The sequence below is a fragment of the Homo sapiens genome, chromosome 19 (assembly GCF_000001405.40).
Source record: "Homo sapiens chromosome 19, GRCh38.p14 Primary Assembly".
Taxonomy (NCBI): Eukaryota; Metazoa; Chordata; class Mammalia; order Primates; family Hominidae; genus Homo; species Homo sapiens.
Window position 1 is genome coordinate 37,270,524 of NC_000019.10, and position 19,307 is coordinate 37,289,830.

The following is a 19,307-nucleotide window of genomic DNA, read 5'->3' on the forward strand; positions in this document are numbered from 1 at the left end:
TCCCTGCGTCGAGCTGTGGCTACATTTCTCGATGAGGGCAGAGGGCGACAGGCGTGACAACCACCTTCTTGAAGCTCTGCGGGCACCCTCCTGCGGGTGGACAATGAGCGCCTGGGAGGCCGTTGTCCTTGGTTGGGGAGCGCTCGTCTGGATCCAGCCTAGCAAAGAGGCTGCTCCGGATGGGGAGGGGATGAAAACCCCTGCGGGTTCGACGCCGATGCCCACGTTGCCCAGGCCTTCACAGACCCCCAAACTGGAACTGCCGGGACCACGACTGCCAACCGGCCACACGACCCAGGCAGAGACGCGGGGACACGCTGACCAGAAGAAAGGCCGACGTGCAAGAAACCCACCCTCCGGCGCACAGGGCCCATGTGTCCCAAGGCGCACGCACACACAGACGGACAGAGACAGAAAGAGAGGGCGACCGAAAGAGCGAGAAGGGAGAGAGACAAAGAGAGAGAGAGAGAGAGAGAGAGAGAGAGAGAGAGAGAGACGTGAGAGAGAGACAGAAGTCGGCACACAGACACGCACTGCGCGCGCACACACACAGACAAACACACAGACGCATCCCCCCAACACACACACACACACCCATAACGAACACACACGTACAGCAGGGAACACCCACCCGCAGGCAGCCCCTGAAGCTGCCGGGTTCTGCTCTCCGCGACTAAGAGCCACCGGTGAGAGAGCAGCCCACGGGCACACAGGCGGACCTGTGCTCGTCATCACAAGGGCTCCACTTTTGGGGAGACTCACCCGCACACCGTCCGCGCACGCCTGAGGCTGGGATCCCGCGCTGCCTCGCCGGCGATCTGTCTGAGGTTTCTTCCTCTTGGGGTTTCTTCCTGCTGGTGGACCCTCCGCGAATCCCGGCCTCCGGAGACCGTCCTGGTAACTGCCCTGGCCAGGACTGGTCTCAGCCCAGACTCAGACGCACGATCACACAGGGCTCCTACTTCGCCAAGTGTCAGGGACCCATCCCCGGGCAACGGTGGCTTTCACTTTGACCCAAGCGGCGGCTTGGGCCTCGCGCATGCGCACTGGCGAGGCCGACTCCCCCCGCTCCAGCCCCCCTTACTCCGCAGAGTCAGGCTGCGGACCCTTTAAAAAATGGCGGCGACGCGGCGGCTGCGGGGCCTGGGGCGGCGGTGCTGGAGGTTGCGGCGGCGGCGGTGGCGGCGCAGCCCGAGGCGGCGGGTGGGAAGAGGACTGCCAGAGGGGCCTGCGGGAGACCCAGGGTCGGACCCATAGGAGTCCTGTGGTGAGGACCTCCTTGATCGCTCTTCTGCTTCGGTTCCCGCGAAAGGAGGAGCTTCGGGATGCCGGCTGGGCTGCGCGGACTCCTCTTGGGGTCCGATGATGGATCCAACCGGGTGATCGGGAATGGGGTTCCAATGCAGTGAGGCCGAAAGGGTCTCGCCGGGGCACAGAAAGATCCCCAGGGCCGCAAGGCGTGCTGTCGGCTGCAAAGGCACCGACCCATGAGCCCACTGCCTCCCTCCCTCCTGGCAGGAGCAGGGGCCTGCCTTCATCTCCAAGGCCCGAGGGCTCCGGCATCCCGACGCGGCTTCCGGCGACACGGGCCAAGAGAGACAGAGGCGAGTCCGAGCTGGTGCCAGCGTGTCCACATGTGGCACTGTCGTCCCCCAAGAGCACATGCAGGTAGCGTGTGTCTTTGAGGCCGTAGGGGGCGACGACGAGACGGACAGTGATGTCCAGGCGTGCGCCCGGGGGGCCACTGGAGACCTGCCCCACAAAGCGGAGGAAAAGCCAAGCGCACCTGAAAACCTGCGAGACAGGGCCTGTGCGCGAGTCCACGCCACGTTCAGGGAGGCCCGCCAGAGGAGCCGAGAGGTTTGGACAAAGTACACCCCACCCCCAGCCCGCCGCCGGCTAGGTACCCCTGACGCAACCTCCCCTGCACCCAGCCAAAACCCAGTCCCGTTGGCTCCCTGACATCCGTGGCAGCCAAAAGATTCGGTGCTAGAAGGCACTTTCCCCAGGAGCGGAGGAACCGGTTGGCCCTCAAGAATCAGAGAGGAAGTGCAGGTGGGATGCAACACCGCCTTTCCTAGAAGGCCAATGTCAGGAGCGGTGGGCTTGCCTCCGCCTCTTCCTGGACCGAGCGTGCAGCCATCACTTGGGCCATGGAGACCGAGAGAGCTTCCCTGTCCCACACAGGTATGGAAGCCCAGAGCTCCAGGATCACCACAGCTGCCCAATCATCCAGAAAGAGGTGTGGAGAGGGAAACAATCATGACGCGGACCGCCACGAGGTTTCTCCCTGATGGACGGGGAAGTCTTGTTTGTGGAAGACACTGAGCCACACTAAGAAGCCGCCAGGCTTCTCAGAGACGGGGCAGACACAGCAAGAGGGAGGTCAGAGCAGAGGCCAGAGCCCAGGCAGGATACGGGGGGGCCATGCCACCACCACCGGCATCCGGGGAGGAGTGTCAAACGGGTGACTCGGCCAGGAAGGCCAGCCTTTGAGAGACAGACATGCTTGCCCCATCCCCTTGCCGGCTTCCTTCTCCGTCCCTGCGTCGAGCTGTGGCTACATTTCTCGATGAGGGCAGAGGGCGACAGGCGTGACAACCACCTTCTTGAAGCTCTGCGGGCACCCTTCCTGCGGGTGGACAATGAGCGCCTGGGAGGCCGTTGTCCTTGGTTGGGGAGCGCTCGTCTGGATCCAGCCTAGCAAAGAGGCTGCTCCGGATGGGGAGGGGATGAAAACCCTGCGGGTCCGACACCCATGCCCACGTTGCCCAGGCCTTCACAGACCCCCAAACTGGAACCGCCGGGACGACGACTGCCAACCGGCCACACGACCCAGGCAGAGACGCGGGGAGACGCTGACCAGAAGAAAGGCCGACGTGCAAGAAATCCACCCTCCGGCGCACAGGGCCCATGTGTCCCAAGGCGCACGCATACACAGACGGACAGAGACAGAAAGAGAGGGCGACCGAAAGAGCGAGAAGGGAGAGAGACAGAGAGAGAGAGAGAGAGAGAGAGAGAGAGAGAGAGAGAGAGACAGAAGTCGGCACACAGACACGCACTGCGCGCGCACACACACAGACACACACACAGACGCATCCCCCCAACACACACACACACACCCATAACGAACACACACGTACAGCAGGGAACACCCACCCGCAGGCAGCCCCTGAAGCTGCCGGGTTCTGCTCTCCGCGACTAAGAGCCACCGGTGAGAGAGCAGCCCACGGGCACACAGGCGGACCTGTGCTCGTCATCACAAGGGCTCCACTTTTGGGGAGACTCACCCGCACACCGTCCGCGCACGCCTGAGGCTGGGATCCCGCGCTGCCTCGCCGGCGATCTGTCTGAGGTTTCTTCCTCCTGGGGTTTCTTCCTGCTGGTGGACCCTCCGCGAATCCCGGCCTCCGGAGACCGTCCTGGTAACTACCCTGGCCAGGACTGGTCTCAGCCCAGACTCAGACGCACGATCACACAGGGCTGCTACTTCGCCAAGTGTCAGGGACCCATCCCCGGGCAACGGTGGCTTTCACTGTGGCCCAAGCGGCGGCTCGGGCCTCGCGCATGCGCACTGGCGAGGCCGACTCCCCCGCTCCACCCCCCCTTACTCCGCAGAGTCAGGCTGCGGACCCTTTAAAAAATGGCGGCGACGCGGCGGCTGCGGGGCCTGGGGCGGCGGTGCTGGAGGTTACGTCGGCGGCGGCGGCGGCACAGCCAGAGGCGGCGGGTGGGAAGAGGACTGCCAGAGGGGCCTGCGGGAGACCCAGGGTCGGACCCATAGGAGTCCTGTGGTGAGGACCTCCTTGATCGCTCTTCTGCTTCGGTTCCCGCTGAAGGAGGAGTTTCGGGATGCCGGCTGGGCTGCGCGGACTCCTCTTGGGGTCCGATGATGGATCCAACCGGGTGATCGGGAATGGGGTTCCAATGCAGTGAGGCCGAAAGGGTCTCGCCGGGGCACAGAAAGATCCCCAGGGCCGCAAGGCGTGCTGTCGGCTGCAAAGGCACCGACCCATGAGCCCACTGCCTCCCTCCCTCCTGGCAGGAGCAGGGGCCTGCCTTCATCTCCAAGGCCCGAGGGCTCCGGCATCCCGACGCGGCTTCCGGCGACACGGGCAAAGAGAGACAGAGGCGAGTCCGAGCTGGAGCCAGCGTGTCCACATGTGGCACTGTCGTCCCCCAAGAGCACATGCAGGCAGCGTGTGTCTTTGAGGCCGTAGGGGGCGACGACGAGACGGACAGTGATGTCCAGGCGTGCGCCCGGGGGGCCACTGGAGACCTGCCCCACAAAGCGGAGGAAAAGCCAAGCGCACCTGAAAACCTGCGAGACAGGGCCTGTGCGCGAGTCCACGCCACGTTCAGGGAGGCCCGCCAGAGGAGCCGAGACGTTTGGACAAAGTACACCCCACCCCCAGCCCGCCGCCGGCTAGGTACCCCTGACGCAACCTCCCCTGCACCCAGCCAAAACCCAGTCCCGTTGGCTCCCTGACATCCGTGGCAGCCAAAAGATTCGGTGCTAGAAGGCACTTTCCCCAGGAGCGGAGGAACCGGTTGGCCCTCAAGAATCAGAGAGGAAGTGCAGGTGGGATGCAACACCGCCTTTCCTAGAAGGCCAATGTCAGGAGCGGTGGGCTTGCCTCCGCCTCTTCCTGGACCGAGCGTGCAGCCATCACTTGGGCCATGGAGACCGAGAGAGCTTCCCTGTCCCACACAGGTATGGAAGCCCAGAGCTCCAGGATCACCACAGCTGCCCAATCATCCAGAAAGAGGTGTGGAGAGGGAAACAATCATGACGCGGACCGCCACGAGGTTTCTCCCTGATGGACGGGGAAGTCTTGTTTGTGGAAGACACTGAGCCACGCTAAGAAGCCGCCAGGCTTCTCAGAGACGGGGCAGACACAGCAAGAGGGAGGTCAGAGCAGAGGCCAGAGCCCAGGCAGGATACGGGGGGGCCATGCCACCACCACCGGCATCCGGGGAGGAGTGTCAAACGGGTGACTCGGCCAGGAAGGCCAGCCTTTGAGAGACAGACATGCTTGCCCCATCCCCTTGCCGGCTTCCTTCTCCGTCCCTGCGTCGAGCTGTGGCTACATTTCTCGATGAGGGCAGAGGGCGACAGGCGTGACAACCACCTTCTTGAAGCTCTGCGGGCACCCTCCTGCGGGTGGACAATGAGCGCCTGGGAGGCCGTTGTCCTTGGTTGGGGAGCGCTCGTCTGGATCCAGCCTAGCAAAGAGGCTGCTCCGGATGGGGAGGGGATGAAAACCCCTGCGGGTTCGACGCCGATGCCCACGTTGCCCAGGCCTTCACAGACCCCCAAACTGGAACTGCCGGGACGACGACTGCCAACCGGCCACACGACCCAGGCAGAGACGCGGGGACACGCTGACCAGAAGAAAGGCCGACGTGCAAGAAACCCACCCTCCGGCGCACAGGGCACATGTGTCCCAAGGCGCACGCACACACAGACGGACAGAGACAGACAGAGAGGGCGACGGAAACAGCGAGAAGGGAGAGAGAGAGAGAGAGAGAGAGAGAGAGAGAGAGAGAGAGAGAGAGAGAGGTGAGAGAGAGTCAGAAGTCGGCACACAGACACGCACTGCGCGCGCACACACACAGACACACACACAGACGCACCCCCCCAACACACACACACACACCCATAACGAACACACACGTACAGCAGGGAACACCCACCCGCAGGCAGCCCCTGAAGCTGCCGGGTTCTGCTCTCCGCGACTAAGAGCCACCGGTGAGAGAGCAGCCCACGGGCACACAGGCGGACCTGTGCTCGTCATCACAAGGGCTCCACTTTTGGGGAGACTCACCCGCACACCGTCCGCGCACGCCTGAGGCTGGGATGCCGCGCTGCCTCGCCGGCGATCTGTCTGAGTTTTCTTCCTCCTGGCGTTTCTTCCTGCTGGTGGACCCTCCGCGAATCCCGGCCTCCGGAAACCGTCCTGGTAACTGCCCTGACCAGGACTGGTCTCAGCCCAGACTCAGACGCACGATCACACAGGGCTCCTACTTCGCCAAGTGTCAGGGACCCATCCCCGGGCAACGGTGGCTTTCACTGTGACCCAAGCGGCGGCTTGGGCCTCGCGCATGCGCACTGGCGAGGCCGACTCCCCCGCTCCACCCCCCCTTACTCCGCAGAGTCAGGCTGCGGACCCTTTAAAAAATGGCGGCGACGCGGCGGCTGCGGGGCCTGGGGCGGCGGTGCTGGAGGTTGCGGCGGCGGCGGTGGCGGCGCAGCCCGAGGCGGCGGGTGGGAAGAGGACTGCCAGAGGGGCCTGCGGCAGACCCAGGGTCGGACTCATAGGAGTCCTGTGGTGAGGACCTCCTTGATCGCTCTTCTGCTTCGGTTCCCGCTGAAGGAGGAGCTTCGGGATGCCGGCTGGGCTGCGCGGACTCCTCTTGGGGTCCGATGATGGATCCAACCGGGTGATCGGGAATGGGGTTCCAATGCAGTGAGGCCGAAAGGGTCTCGCCGGGGCACAGAAAGATCCCCAGGGCCGCAAGGCGTGCTGTCGGCTGCAAAGGCACCGACCCATGAGCCCACTGCCTCCCTCCCTCCTGGCAGGAGCAGGGGCCTGCCTTCATCTCCAAGGCCCGAGGGCTCCGGCATCCCGACGCGGCTTCCGGCGACACGGGCAAAGAGAGACAGAGGCGAGTCCGAGCTGGTGCCAGTGTGTCCACATGTGGCACTGTCGTCCCCCAAGAGCACATGCAGGCCGCGTGTGTCTTTGAGGCCGTAGGGGGCAACGACGAGACGGACAGTGATGTCCAGGCGTGCGCCCGGGGGGCCACTGGAGACCTGCCCCACAAAGCGGAGGAAAAGCCAAGCGCACCTGAAAACCTGCGAGACAGGGCCTGTGCGCGAGTCCACGCCACGTTCAGGGAGGCCCGCCAGAGGAGCCGAGACGTTTGGACAAAGTACACCCCACCCTCAGCCCGCCGCCGGCTAGGTACCCCTGACGCAAACTCCCCTGCACCCAGCCAAAACCCAGTCCCGTTGGCTCCCTGACATCCGTGGCAGCCAAAAGATTCGGTGCTAGAAGGCACTTTCCCCAGGAGCGGAGGAACCGGTTGGCCCTCAAGAATCAGAGAGGAAGTGCAGGTGGGATGCAACACCGCCTTTCCTAGAAGGCCAATGTCAGGAGCGGTGGGCTTGCCTCCGCCTCTTCCTGGACCGAGCGTGCAGCCATCACTTGGGCCATGGAGACCGAGAGAGCTTCCCTGTCCCACACAGGTATGGAAGCCCAGAGCTCCAGGATCACCACAGCTGCCCAGTCATCCAGAAAGAGGTGTGGAGAGGGAAACAATCATGACGCGGACCGCCACGAGGTTTCTCCCTGATGGACGGGGAAGTCTTCTTTGTGGAAGACACTGAGCCACGCTAAGAAGCCGCCAGGCTTCTCAGAGACGGGGCAGACACAGCAAGAGGGAGGTCAGAGCAGAGGCCAGAGCCCAGGCAGGATACGGGGGGGCCATGCCACCACCACCGGCATCCGGGGAGGACTGTCAAACGGGTGACTCGGCCAGGAAGGCCAGCCTTTGAGAGACAGACATGCTTGCCCCATCCCCTTGCCGGCTTCCTTCTCCGTCCCTGCGTCGAGCTGTGGCTACATTTCTCGATGAGGGCAGAGGGCGACAGGCGTGACAACCACCTTCTTGAAGCTCTGCGGGCACCCTCCTGCGGGTGGACAATGAGCGCCTGTGAGGCCGTTGTCCTTGGTTGGGGAGCGCTCGTCTGGATCCAGCCTAGCAAAGAGGCTGCTCCGGATGTGGAGGGGATGAAAACCCCTGCGGGTTCGACGCCGATGCCCACGTTGCCCAGGCCTTCACAGACCCCCAAACTGGAACTGCCGGGACGACGACTGCCAACCGGCCACACGACCCAGGCAGAGACGCGGGGACACGCTGACCAGAAGAAAGGCCGACGTGCAAGAAACCCACCCTCCGGCGCACAGGGCACATGTGTCCCAAGGCGCACGCACACACAGACGGACAGAGACAGACAGAGAGGGCGACGGAAACAGCGAGAAGGGAGAGAGAGAGAGAGAGAGAGAGAGACAGAGAGAGACGTGAGAGAGACACAGAAGTCGGCACACAGACACGCACTGCGCGCGCACACACACAGACACACACACAGACGCACCCCCCCAACACACACACACACACCCATAACGAACACACACGTACAGCAGGGAACACCCACCCGCAGGCAGCCCCTGAAGCTGCCGGGTTCTGCTCTCCGCGACTAAGAGCCACCGGTGAGAGAGCAGCCCACGGGCACACAGGCGGACCTGTGCTCGTCATCACAAGGGCTCCACTTTTGGGGAGACTCACCCGCACACCGTCCGCGCACGCCTGAGGCTGGGATCCCGCGCTGCCTCGCCGGCGATCTGTCTGAGGTTTCTTCCTCTTGGGGTTTCTTCCTGCTGGTGGACCCTCCGCGAATCCCGGCCTCCGGAGACCGTCCTGGTAACTGCCCTGGCCAGGACTGGTCTCAGCCCAGACTCAGACGCACGATCACACAGGGCTCCTACTTCGCCAAGTGTCAGGGACCCATCCCCGGGCAACGGTGGCTTTCACTTTGACCCAAGCGGCGGCTTGGGCCTCGCGCATGCGCACTGGCGAGGCCGACTCCCCCCGCTCCAGCCCCCCTTACTCCGCAGAGTCAGGCTGCGGACCCTTTAAAAAATGGCGGCGACGCGGCGGCTGCGGGGCCTGGGGCGGCGGTGCTGGAGGTTGCGGCGGCGGCGGTGGCGGCGCAGCCCGAGGCGGCGGGTGGGAAGAGGACTGCCAGAGGGGCCTGCGGGAGACCCAGGGTCGGACCCATAGGAGTCCTGTGGTGAGGACCTCCTTGATCGCTCTTCTGCTTCGGTTCCCGCGAAAGGAGGAGCTTCGGGATGCCGGCTGGGCTGCGCGGACTCCTCTTGGGGTCCGATGATGGATCCAACCGGGTGATCGGGAATGGGGTTCCAATGCAGTGAGGCCGAAAGGGTCTCGCCGGGGCACAGAAAGATCCCCAGGGCCGCAAGGCGTGCTGTCGGCTGCAAAGGCACCGACCCATGAGCCCACTGCCTCCCTCCCTCCTGGCAGGAGCAGGGGCCTGCCTTCATCTCCAAGGCCCGAGGGCTCCGGCATCCCGACGCGGCTTCCGGCGACACGGGCCAAGAGAGACAGAGGCGAGTCCGAGCTGGTGCCAGCGTGTCCACATGTGGCACTGTCGTCCCCCAAGAGCACATGCAGGTAGCGTGTGTCTTTGAGGCCGTAGGGGGCGACGACGAGACGGACAGTGATGTCCAGGCGTGCGCCCGGGGGGCCACTGGAGACCTGCCCCACAAAGCGGAGGAAAAGCCAAGCGCACCTGAAAACCTGCGAGACAGGGCCTGTGCGCGAGTCCACGCCACGTTCAGGGAGGCCCGCCAGAGGAGCCGAGAGGTTTGGACAAAGTACACCCCACCCCCAGCCCGCCGCCGGCTAGGTACCCCTGACGCAACCTCCCCTGCACCCAGCCAAAACCCAGTCCCGTTGGCTCCCTGACATCCGTGGCAGCCAAAAGATTCGGTGCTAGAAGGCACTTTCCCCAGGAGCGGAGGAACCGGTTGGCCCTCAAGAATCAGAGAGGAAGTGCAGGTGGGATGCAACACCGCCTTTCCTAGAAGGCCAATGTCAGGAGCGGTGGGCTTGCCTCCGCCTCTTCCTGGACCGAGCGTGCAGCCATCACTTGGGCCATGGAGACCGAGAGAGCTTCCCTGTCCCACACAGGTATGGAAGCCCAGAGCTCCAGGATCACCACAGCTGCCCAATCATCCAGAAAGAGGTGTGGAGAGGGAAACAATCATGACGCGGACCGCCACGAGGTTTCTCCCTGATGGACGGGGAAGTCTTGTTTGTGGAAGACACTGAGCCACGCTAAGAAGCCGCCAGGCTTCTCAGAGACGGGGCAGACACAGCAAGAGGGAGGTCAGAGCAGAGGCCAGAGCCCAGGCAGGATACGGGGGGGCCATGCCTCCACCACCGGCATCCGGGGAGGACTGTCAAACGGGTGACTCGGCCAGGAAGGCCAGCCTTTGAGAGACAGACATGCTTGCCGCCCCATCCCCTTGCCGGCTTCCTTCTCCGTCCCTGCGTCGAGCTGTGGCTACATTTCTCGATGAGGGCAGAGGGCGACAGGCGTGACAACCACCTTCTTGAAGCTCTGCGGGCACCTTCCTGCGGGTGGACAATGAGCGCCTGGGAGGCCGTTGTCCTTGGTTGGGGAGCGCTCGTCTGGATCCAGCCTAGCAAAGAGGCTGCTCCGGATGGGGAGGGGATGAAAACCCCTGCGGGTTCGACGCCGATGCCCACGTTGCCCAGGCCTTCACAGACCCCCAAACTGGAACTGCTGGGACGACGACTGCCAACCGGCCACACGACCCAGGCAGAGACGCGGGGAGAGGCTGACCAGAAGGAAGGCCGACGTGCAAGAAACCCACCCTCCGGCGCACAGGGCACATGTGTCCCAAGGCGCACGCACACACAGACGGACAGAGACAGACAGAGAGGGCGACGGAAACAGCGAGAAGGGAGAGAGAGAGAGAGAGAGAGAGAGACAGAGAGAGACGTGAGAGAGAGACAGAAGTCGGCACACAGACACGCACTGCGCGCGCACACACACAGACACACACACAGACGCATCCCCCCAACACACACACACACACCCATAACGAACACACACGTACAGCAGGGAACACCCACCCGCAGGCAGCCCCTGAAGCTGCCGGGTTCTGCTCTCCGCGACTAAGAGCCACCGGTGAGAGAGCAGCCCACGGGCACACAGGCGGACCTGTGCTCGTCATCACAAGGGCTCCACTTTTGGGGAGACTCACCCGCACACCGTCCGCGCACGCCTGAGGCTGGGATGCCGCGCTGCCTCGCCGGCGATCTGTCTGAGTTTTCTTCCTCCTGGGGTTTCTTCCTGCTGGTGGACCCTCCGCGAATCCCGGCCTCCGGAGACCGTCCTGGTAACTGCCCTGGCCAGGACTGGTCTCAGCCCAGACTCAGACGCACGATCACACAGGGCTCCTACTTCGCCAAGTGTCAGGGACCCATCCCCGGGCAACGGTGGCTTTCACTGTGACCCAAGCGGCGGCTTGGGCCTCGCGCATGCGCACTGGCGAGGCCGACTCCCCCGCTCCACCCCCCCTTACTCCGCAGAGTCCGGCTGCGGACCCTTTAAAAAATGGCGGCGACGCGGCGGCTGCGGGGCCTGGGGCGGCGGTGCTGGAGGTTGCGGCGGCGGCGGTGGCGGCGCAGCCCGAGGCGGCGGGTGGGAAGAGGACTGCCAGAGGGGCCTGCGGGAGACCCAGGGTCGGACCCATAGGAGTCCTGTGGTGAGGACCTCCTTGATCGCTCTTCTGCTTCGGTTCCCGCGAAAGGAGGAGCTTCGGGATGCCGGCTGGGCTGCGCGGACTCCTCTCGGGGTCGGATGATGGATCCAACCGGGTGATCGGGAATGGGGTTCCAATGCAGTGAGGCCGAAAGGGTCTCGCCGGGGCACAGAAAGATCCCCAGGGCCGCAAGGCGTGCTGTCGGCTGCAAAGGCACCGACCCATGAGCCCACTGCCTCCCTCCCTCCTGGCAGGAGCAGGGGCCTGCCTTCATCTCCAAGGCCCGAGGGCTCCGGCATCCCGACGCGGCTTCCGGCGACACGGGCAAAGAGAGACAGAGGCGAGTCCGAGCTGGTGCCAGCGTGTCCACATGTGGCACTGTCGTCCCCCAAGAGCACATGCAGGCAGCGTGTGTCTTTGAGGCCGTAGGGGGCGACGACGAGACGGACAGTGATGTCCAGGCGTGCGCCCGGGGGGCCACTGGAGACCTGCCCCACAAAGCGGAGGAAAAGCCAAGCGCACCTGAAAACCTGCGAGACAGAGCCTGTGCGCGAGTCCACGCCACGTTCAGGGAGGCCCGCCAGAGGAGCCGAGAGGTTTGGACAAAGTACACCCCACCCCCAGCCCGCCGCCGGCTAGGTACCCCTGACGCAACCTCCCCTGCACCCAGCCAAAACCCAGTCCCGTTGGCTCCCTGACATCCGTGGCAGCCAAAAGATTCGGTGCTAGAAGGCACTTTCCCCAGGAGCGGAGGAACCGGTTGGCCCTCAAGAATCAGAGAGGAAGTGCAGGTGGGATGCAACACCGCCTTTCCTAGAAGGCCAATGTCAGGAGCGGTGGGCTTGCCTCCGCCTCTTCCTGGACCGAGCGTGCAGCCATCACTTGGGCCATGGAGACCGAGAGAGCTTCCCTGTCCCACACAGGTATGGAAGCCCAGAGCTCCAGGATCACCACAGCTGCCCAATCATCCAGAAAGAGGTGTGGAGAGGGAAACAATCATGACGCGGACCGCCACGAGGTTTCTCCCTGATGGACGGGGAAGTCTTCTTTGTGGAAGACACTGAGCCACGCTAAGAAGCCGCCAGGCTTCTCAGAGACGGGGCAGACACAGCAAGAGGGAGGTCAGAGCAGAGGCCAGAGCACAGGCAGGATACGGGGGGACCATGCCACCACCACCGGCATCCGGGGAGGACTGTCAAACGGGTGACTCGGCCAGGAAGGCCAGCCTTTGAGAGACAGACATGCTTGCCGCCCCATCCCCTTGCCGGCTTCCTTCTCCGTCCCTGCGTCGAGCTGTGGCTACATTTCTCGATGAGGGCAGAGGGCGACAGGCGTGACAACCACCTTCTTGAAGCTCTGCGGGCACCCTCCTGCGGGTGGACAATGAGCGCCTGGGAGGCCGTTGTCCTTGGTTGGGGAGCGCTCGTCTGGATCCAGCCTAGCAAAGAGGCTGCTCCGGATGGGGAGGGGATGAAAACCCTACGGGTCCGACACCCATGCCCACGTTGCCCAGGCCTTCACAGACCCCCAAACTGGAACTGCCGGGACGACGACTGCCAACCGGCCACACGACCCAGGCAGAGACGCGGGGAGACGCTGACCAGAAGAAAGGCCGACGTGCAAGAAATCCACCCTCCGGCGCACAGGGCCCATGTGTCCCAAGGCGCACGCACACACAGACGGAGAGAGACAGAAAGAGAGGGCGACCGAAAGAGCGAGAAGGGAGAGAGACAGAGAGAGAGAGAGAGAGAGAGAGAGAGAGAGAGAGAGACAGAAGTCGGCACACAGACACGCACTGCGCGCGCACACACACAGACACACACACAGACGCATCCCCCCAACACACACACACACACCCATAACGAACACACACGTACAGCAGGGAACACCCACCCGCAGGCAGCCCCTGAAGCTGCCGGGTTCTGCTCTCCGCGACTAAGAGCCACCGGTGAGAGAGCAGCCCACGGGCACACAGGCGGACCTGTGCTCGTCATCACAAGGGCTCCACTTTTGGGGAGACTCACCCGCACACCGTCCGCGCACGCCTGAGGCTGGGATCCCGCGCTGCCTCGCCGGCGATCTGTCTGAGGTTTCTTCCTCTTGGGGTTTCTTCCTGCTGGTGGACCCTCCGCGAATCCCGGCCTCCGGAGACCGTCCTGGTAACTGCCCTGGCCAGGACTGGTCTCAGCCCAGACTCAGACGCACGATCACACAGGGCTCCTACTTCGCCAAGTGTCAGGGACCCATCCCCTGGCAACGGTGGCTTTCACTGTGACCCAAGCGGCGGCTTGGGCCTCGCGCATGCGCACTGGCGAGGCCGACTCCCCCGCTCCACCCCCCCTTACTCCACAGAGTCAGGCTGCGGACCCTTTAAAAAATGGCGGCGACGCGGCGGCTGCGGGGCCTGGGGCGGCGGTGCTGGAGGTTGCGGCGGCGGCGGTGGCGGCGCAGCCCGAGGCGGCGGGTGGGAAGAGGACTGCCAGAGGGGCCTGCGGGAGACCCAGGGTCGGACCCATAGGAGTCCTGTGGTGAGGACCTCCTTGATCGCTCTTCTGCTTCGGTTCCCGCGAAAGGAGGAGCTTCGGGATGCCGGCTGGGCTGCGCGGACTCCTCTTGGGGTCCGATGATGGATCCAACCGGGTGATCGGGAATGGGGTTCCAATGCAGTGAGGCCGAAAGGGTCTCGCCGGGGCACAGAAAGATCCCCAGGGCCGCAAGGCGTGCTGTCGGCTGCAAAGGCACCGACCCATGAGCCCACTGCCTCCCTCCCTCCTGGCAGGAGCAGGGGCCTGCCTTCATCTCCAAGGCCCGAGGGCTCCGGCATCCCGACGCGGCTTCCGGCGACACGGGCAAAGAGAGAGGCGAGTCCGAGCTGCAGCCAGCGTGTCCACATGTGGCACTGTCGTCCCCCAAGAGCACATGCAGGCAGCGTGTGTCTTTGAGGCCGTAGGGGGCGACGACGAGACGGACAGTGATGTCCAGGCGTGCGCCCGGGGGGCCACTGGAGACCTGCCCCACAAAGCGGAGGAAAAGCCAAGCGCACCTGAAAACCTGCGAGACAGGGCCTGTGCGCGAGTCCACGCCACGTTCAGGGAGGCCCGCCAGAGGAGCCGAGAGGTTTGGACAAAGTACACCCCACCCCCAGCCCGCCGCCGGCTAGGTACCCCTGACGCAACCTCCCCTGCACCCAGCCAAAACCCAGTCCCGTTGGCTCCCTGACATCCGTGGCAGCCAAAAGATTCGGTGCTAGAAGGCACTTTCCCCAGGAGCGGAGGAACCGGTTGGCCCTCAAGAATCAGAGAGGAAGTGCAGGTGGGATGCAACACCGCCTTTCCTAGAAGGCCAATGTCAGGAGCGGTGGGCTTGCCTCCGCCTCTTCCTGGACCGAGCGTGCAGCCATCACTTGGGCCATGGAGACCGAGAGAGCTTCCCTGTCCCACACAGGTATGGAAGCCCAGAGCTCCAGGATCACCACAGCTGCCCAGTCATCCAGAAAGAGGTGTGGAGAGGGAAACAATCATGACGCGGACCGCCACGAGGTTTCTCCCTGATGGACGGGGAAGTCTTCTTTGTGGAAGACACTGAGCCACGCTAAGAAGCCGCCAGGCTTCTCAGAGACGGGGCAGACACAGCAAGAGGGAGGTCAGAGCAGAGGCCAGAGCCCAGGCAGGATACGGGGGGGCCATGCCACCACCACCGGCATCCGGGGAGGAGTGTCAAACGGGTGACTCGGCCAGGAAGGCCAGCCTTTGAGAGACAGACATGCTTGCCCCATCCCCTTGCCGGCTTCCTTCTCCGTCCCTGCGTCGAGCTGTGGCTACATTTCTCGATGAGGGCAGAGGGCGACAGGCGTGACAACCGCCTTCTTGAAGCTCTGCGGGCACCCTCCTGCGGGTGGACAATGAGCGCCTGGGAGGCCGTTGTCCTTGGTTGGGGAGCGCTCGTCTGGATCCAGCCTAGCAAAGAGGCTGCTCCGGATGGGGAGGGGATGAAAACCCCTGCGGGTTCGACGCCGATGCCCACGTTGCCCAGGCCTTCACAGACCCCCAAACTGGAACTGCCGGGACGACGACTGCCAACCGGCCACACGACCCAGGCAGAGACGCGGGGAGAGGCTGACCAGAAGAAAGGCCGACGTGCAAGAAACCCACCCTCCGGCGTACAGGGCACATGTGTCCCAAGGCGCACGCACACACAGACGGACAGAGATAGAAAGAGAGGGCGACGGAAACAGCGAGAAGGGAGAGAGAGAGAGAGAGAGAGAGAGAGAGACAGAGAGAGACGTGAGAGAGAGACAGAAGTCGGCACACAGACACGCACTGCGCGCGCACACACACAGACACACACACAGACGCACCCCCCCAACACACACACACACACCCATAACGAACACACACGTACAGCTGGGAACACCCACCCGCAGGCAGCCCCTGAAGCTGCCGGGTTCTGCTCTCCGAGACTAAGAGCCACCGGTGAGAGAGCAGCCCACGGGCACACAGGCGGACCTGTGCTCGTCATCACAAGGGCTCCACTTTTGGGGAGACTCACCCGCACACCGTCCGCGCACGCCTGAGGCTGGGATCCCGCGCTGCCTCGCCGGCGATCTGTCTGAGGTTTCTTCCTCTTGGGGTTTCTTCCTGCTGGTGGACCCTCCGCGAATCCCGGCCTCCGGAGACCGTCCTGGTAACTGCCCTGGCCAGGACTGGTCTCAGCCCAGACTCAGACGCACGATCACACAGGGCTCCTACTTCGCCAAGTGTCAGGGACCCATCCCCGGGCAACGGTGGCTTTCACTGTGACCCAAGCGGCGGCTTGGGCCTCGTGCATGCGCACTGGCGAGGCCGACTCCCCCGCTCCACCCCCCCTTACTCCGCAGAGTCAGGCTGCGGACCCTTTAAAAAATGGCGGCGACGCGGCGGCTGCGGGGCCTGGGGCGGCGGTGCTGGAGGTTGCGGCGGCGGCGGTGGCGGCGCAGCCCGAGGCGGCGGGTGGGAAGAGGACTGCCAGAGGGGCCTGCGGGAGACCCAGGGTCGGACCCATAGGAGTCCTGTGGTGAGGACCTCCTTGATCGCTCTTCTGCTTCGGTTCCCGCGAAAGGAGGAGCTTCGGGATGCCGGCTGGGCTGCGCGGACTCCTCTTGGGGTCCGATGATGGATCCAACCGGGTGATCGGGAATGGGGTTCCAATGCAGTGAGGCCGAAAGGGTCTCGCCGGGGCACAGAAAGATCCCCAGGGCCGCAAGGCGTGCTGTCGGCTGCAAAGGCACCGACCCATGAGCCCACTGCCTCCCTCCCTCCTGGCAGGAGCAGGGGCCTGCCTTCATCTCCAAGGCCCGAGGGCTCCGGCATCCCGACGCGGCTTCCGGCGACACGGGCAAAGAGAGACAGAGGCGAGTCCGAGCTGGTGCCAGCGTGTCCACATGTGGCACTGTCGTCCCCCAAGAGCACATGCAGGCAGCGTGTGTCTTTGAGGCCGTAGGGGGCAACGACGAGACGGACAGTGATGTCCAGGCGTGCGCCCGGGGGGCCACTGGAGACCTGCCCCACAAAGCGGAGGAAAAGCCAAGCGCACCTGAAAACCTGCGAGACAGGGCCTGTGCGCGAGTCCACGCCACGTTCAGGGAGGCCCGCCAGAGGAGCCGAGAGGTTTGGACAAAGTACACCCCACCCTCAGCCCGCCGCCGGCTAGGTACCCCTGACGCAAACTCCCCTGCACCCAGCCAAAACCCAGTCCCGTTGGCTCCCTGACATCCGTGGCAGCCAAAAGATTCGGTGCTAGAAGGCACTTTCCCCAGGAGCGGAGGAACCGGTTGGCCCTCAAGAATCAGAGAGGAAGTGCAGGTGGGATGCAACACCGCCTTTCCTAGAAGGCCAATGTCAGGAGCGGTGGGCTTGCCTCCGCCTCTTCCTGGACCGAGCGTGCAGCCATCACTTGGGCCATGGAGACCGAGAGAGCTTCCCTGTCCCACACAGGTATGGAAGCCCAGAGCTCCAGGATCACCACAGCTGCCCAGTCATCCAGAAAGAGGTGTGGAGAGGGAAACAATCATGACGCGGACCGCCACGAGGTTTCTCCCTGATGGACGGGGAAGTCTTCTTTGTGGAAGACACTGAGCCACGCTAAGAAGCCGCCAGGCTTCTCAGAGACGGGGCAGACACAGCAAGAGGGAGGTCAGAGCAGAGGCCAGAGCCCAGGCAGGATACGGGGGGGCCATGCCACCACCACCGGCATCCGGGGAGGACTGTCAAACGGGTGACTCGGCCAGGAAGGCCAGCCTTTGAGAGACAGACATGCTTGCCCCATCCCCTTGCCGGCTTCCTTCTCCGTCCCTGCGTCGAGCTGTGGCTACATTTCTCGATGAGGGCAGAGGGCGACAGGCGTGACAACCACCTTCTTGAAGCTCTGCGGGCACCCTCCTGCGGGTGGACAATGAGCGCCTGTGAGGCCGTTGTCCTTGGTTGGGGAGCGCTCGTCTGGATCCAGCCTAGCAAAGAGGCTGCTCCGGATGTGGAGGGGATGAAAACCCCTGCGGGTTCGACGCCGATGCCCACGTTGCCCAGGCCTTCACAGACCCCCAAACTGGAACTGCCGGGACGACGACTGCCAACCGGCCACACGACCCAGGCAGAGACGCGGGGACACGCTGACCAGAAGAAAGGCCGACGTGCAAGAAACCCACCCTCCGGCGCACAGGGCACATGTGTCCCAAGGCGCACGCACACACAGACGGACAGAGACAGACAGAGAGGGCGACGGAAACAGCGAGAAGGGAGAGAGAGAGAGAGAGAGAGAGAGACAGAGAGAGACGTGAGAGAGACACAGAAGTCGGCACACAGACACGCACTGCGCGCGCACACACACAGACACACACACAGACGCACCCCCCCAACACACACACACACACCCATAACGAACACACACGTACAGCAGGGAACACCCACCCGCAGGCAGCCCCTGAAGCTGCCGGGTTCTGCTCTCCGAGACTAAGAGCCACCGGTGAGAGAGCAGCCCACGGGCACACAGGCGGACCTGTGCTCGTCATCACAAGGGCTCCACTTTTGGGGAGACTCACCCGCACACCGTCCGCGCACGCCTGAGGCTGGGATGCCGCGCTGCCTCGCCGGCGATCTGTCTGAGTTTTCTTCCTCCTGGGGTTTCTTCCTGCTGGTGGACCCTCCGCGAATCCCGGCCTCCGGAGACCGTCCTGGTAAATGCCCTGGCCAGGACTGGTCTCAGCCCAGACTCAGACGCACGATCACACAGGGCTCCTACTTCGCCAAGTGTCAGGGACCCATCCCCGGGCAACGGTGGCTTTCACTGTGACCCAAGCGGCGGCTTGGGCCTCGCGCATGCGCACTGGCGAGGCCGACTCCCCCGCTCCACCCCCCCTTACTCCGCAGAGTCAGGCTGCGGACCCTTTAAAAAATGGCGGCGACGCGGCGGCTGCGGGGCCTGGGGCGGCGGTGCTGGAGGTTGCCGTGGCGGCGGTGGCGGCGCAGCCCGAGGCGGCGGGTGGGAAGAGGACTGCCAGAGGGGCCTGCGGGAGACCCAGGGTCGGACCCATAGGAGTCCTGTGGTGAGGACCTCCTTGAGCGCTCTTCTGCTTCGGTTCCCGCTGAAGGAGGAGCTTCGGGATGCCGGCTGGGCTGCGCGGACTCCTCTTGGGGTCCGATGATGGATCCAACCGGGTGATCGGGAATGGGGTTCCAATGCAGTGAGGCCGAAAGGGTCTCGCCGGGGCACAGAAAGATCCCCAGGGCCGCAAGGCGTGCTGTCGGCTGCAAAGGCACCGACCCATGAGCCCACTGCCTCCCTCCCTCCTGGCAGGAGCAGGGGCCTGCCTTCATCTCCAAGGCCCGAGGGCTCCGGCATCCCGACGCGGCTTCCGGCGACACGGGCAAAGAGAGACAGAGGCGAGTCCGAGCT

At 64.2% G+C, this 19,307-nt stretch overlaps 5 annotated features.

Moving 5' to 3' along the window:
- Nucleotides 2,561–3,098: an enhancer, noted in NCBI's record as "H3K27ac-H3K4me1 hESC enhancer chr19:37763986-37764523 (GRCh37/hg19 assembly coordinates)". NCBI's record gives its function as "activates a minimal SCP1, AML or CMV promoter by ChIP-STARR-seq in naive and primed H9 embryonic stem cells {active_cell/tissue: H9 hESC(naive and primed)}" and the evidence as "EXISTENCE:reporter gene assay evidence [ECO:0000049][PMID:30033119]".
- Nucleotides 3,099–3,635: an enhancer, noted in NCBI's record as "H3K27ac-H3K4me1 hESC enhancer chr19:37764524-37765060 (GRCh37/hg19 assembly coordinates)". NCBI's record gives its function as "activates a minimal SCP1, AML or CMV promoter by ChIP-STARR-seq in primed H9 embryonic stem cells {active_cell/tissue: H9 hESC(primed)}" and the evidence as "EXISTENCE:reporter gene assay evidence [ECO:0000049][PMID:30033119]".
- Nucleotides 10,169–10,700: an enhancer, noted in NCBI's record as "H3K27ac-H3K4me1 hESC enhancer chr19:37771594-37772125 (GRCh37/hg19 assembly coordinates)". NCBI's record gives its function as "activates a minimal SCP1, AML or CMV promoter by ChIP-STARR-seq in primed H9 embryonic stem cells {active_cell/tissue: H9 hESC(primed)}" and the evidence as "EXISTENCE:reporter gene assay evidence [ECO:0000049][PMID:30033119]".
- Nucleotides 10,701–11,231: an enhancer, noted in NCBI's record as "H3K27ac-H3K4me1 hESC enhancer chr19:37772126-37772656 (GRCh37/hg19 assembly coordinates)". NCBI's record gives its function as "activates a minimal SCP1, AML or CMV promoter by ChIP-STARR-seq in primed H9 embryonic stem cells {active_cell/tissue: H9 hESC(primed)}" and the evidence as "EXISTENCE:reporter gene assay evidence [ECO:0000049][PMID:30033119]".
- Nucleotides 16,282–17,264: an enhancer, noted in NCBI's record as "H3K27ac-H3K4me1 hESC enhancer chr19:37777707-37778689 (GRCh37/hg19 assembly coordinates)". NCBI's record gives its function as "activates a minimal SCP1, AML or CMV promoter by ChIP-STARR-seq in naive H9 embryonic stem cells {active_cell/tissue: H9 hESC(naive)}" and the evidence as "EXISTENCE:reporter gene assay evidence [ECO:0000049][PMID:30033119]".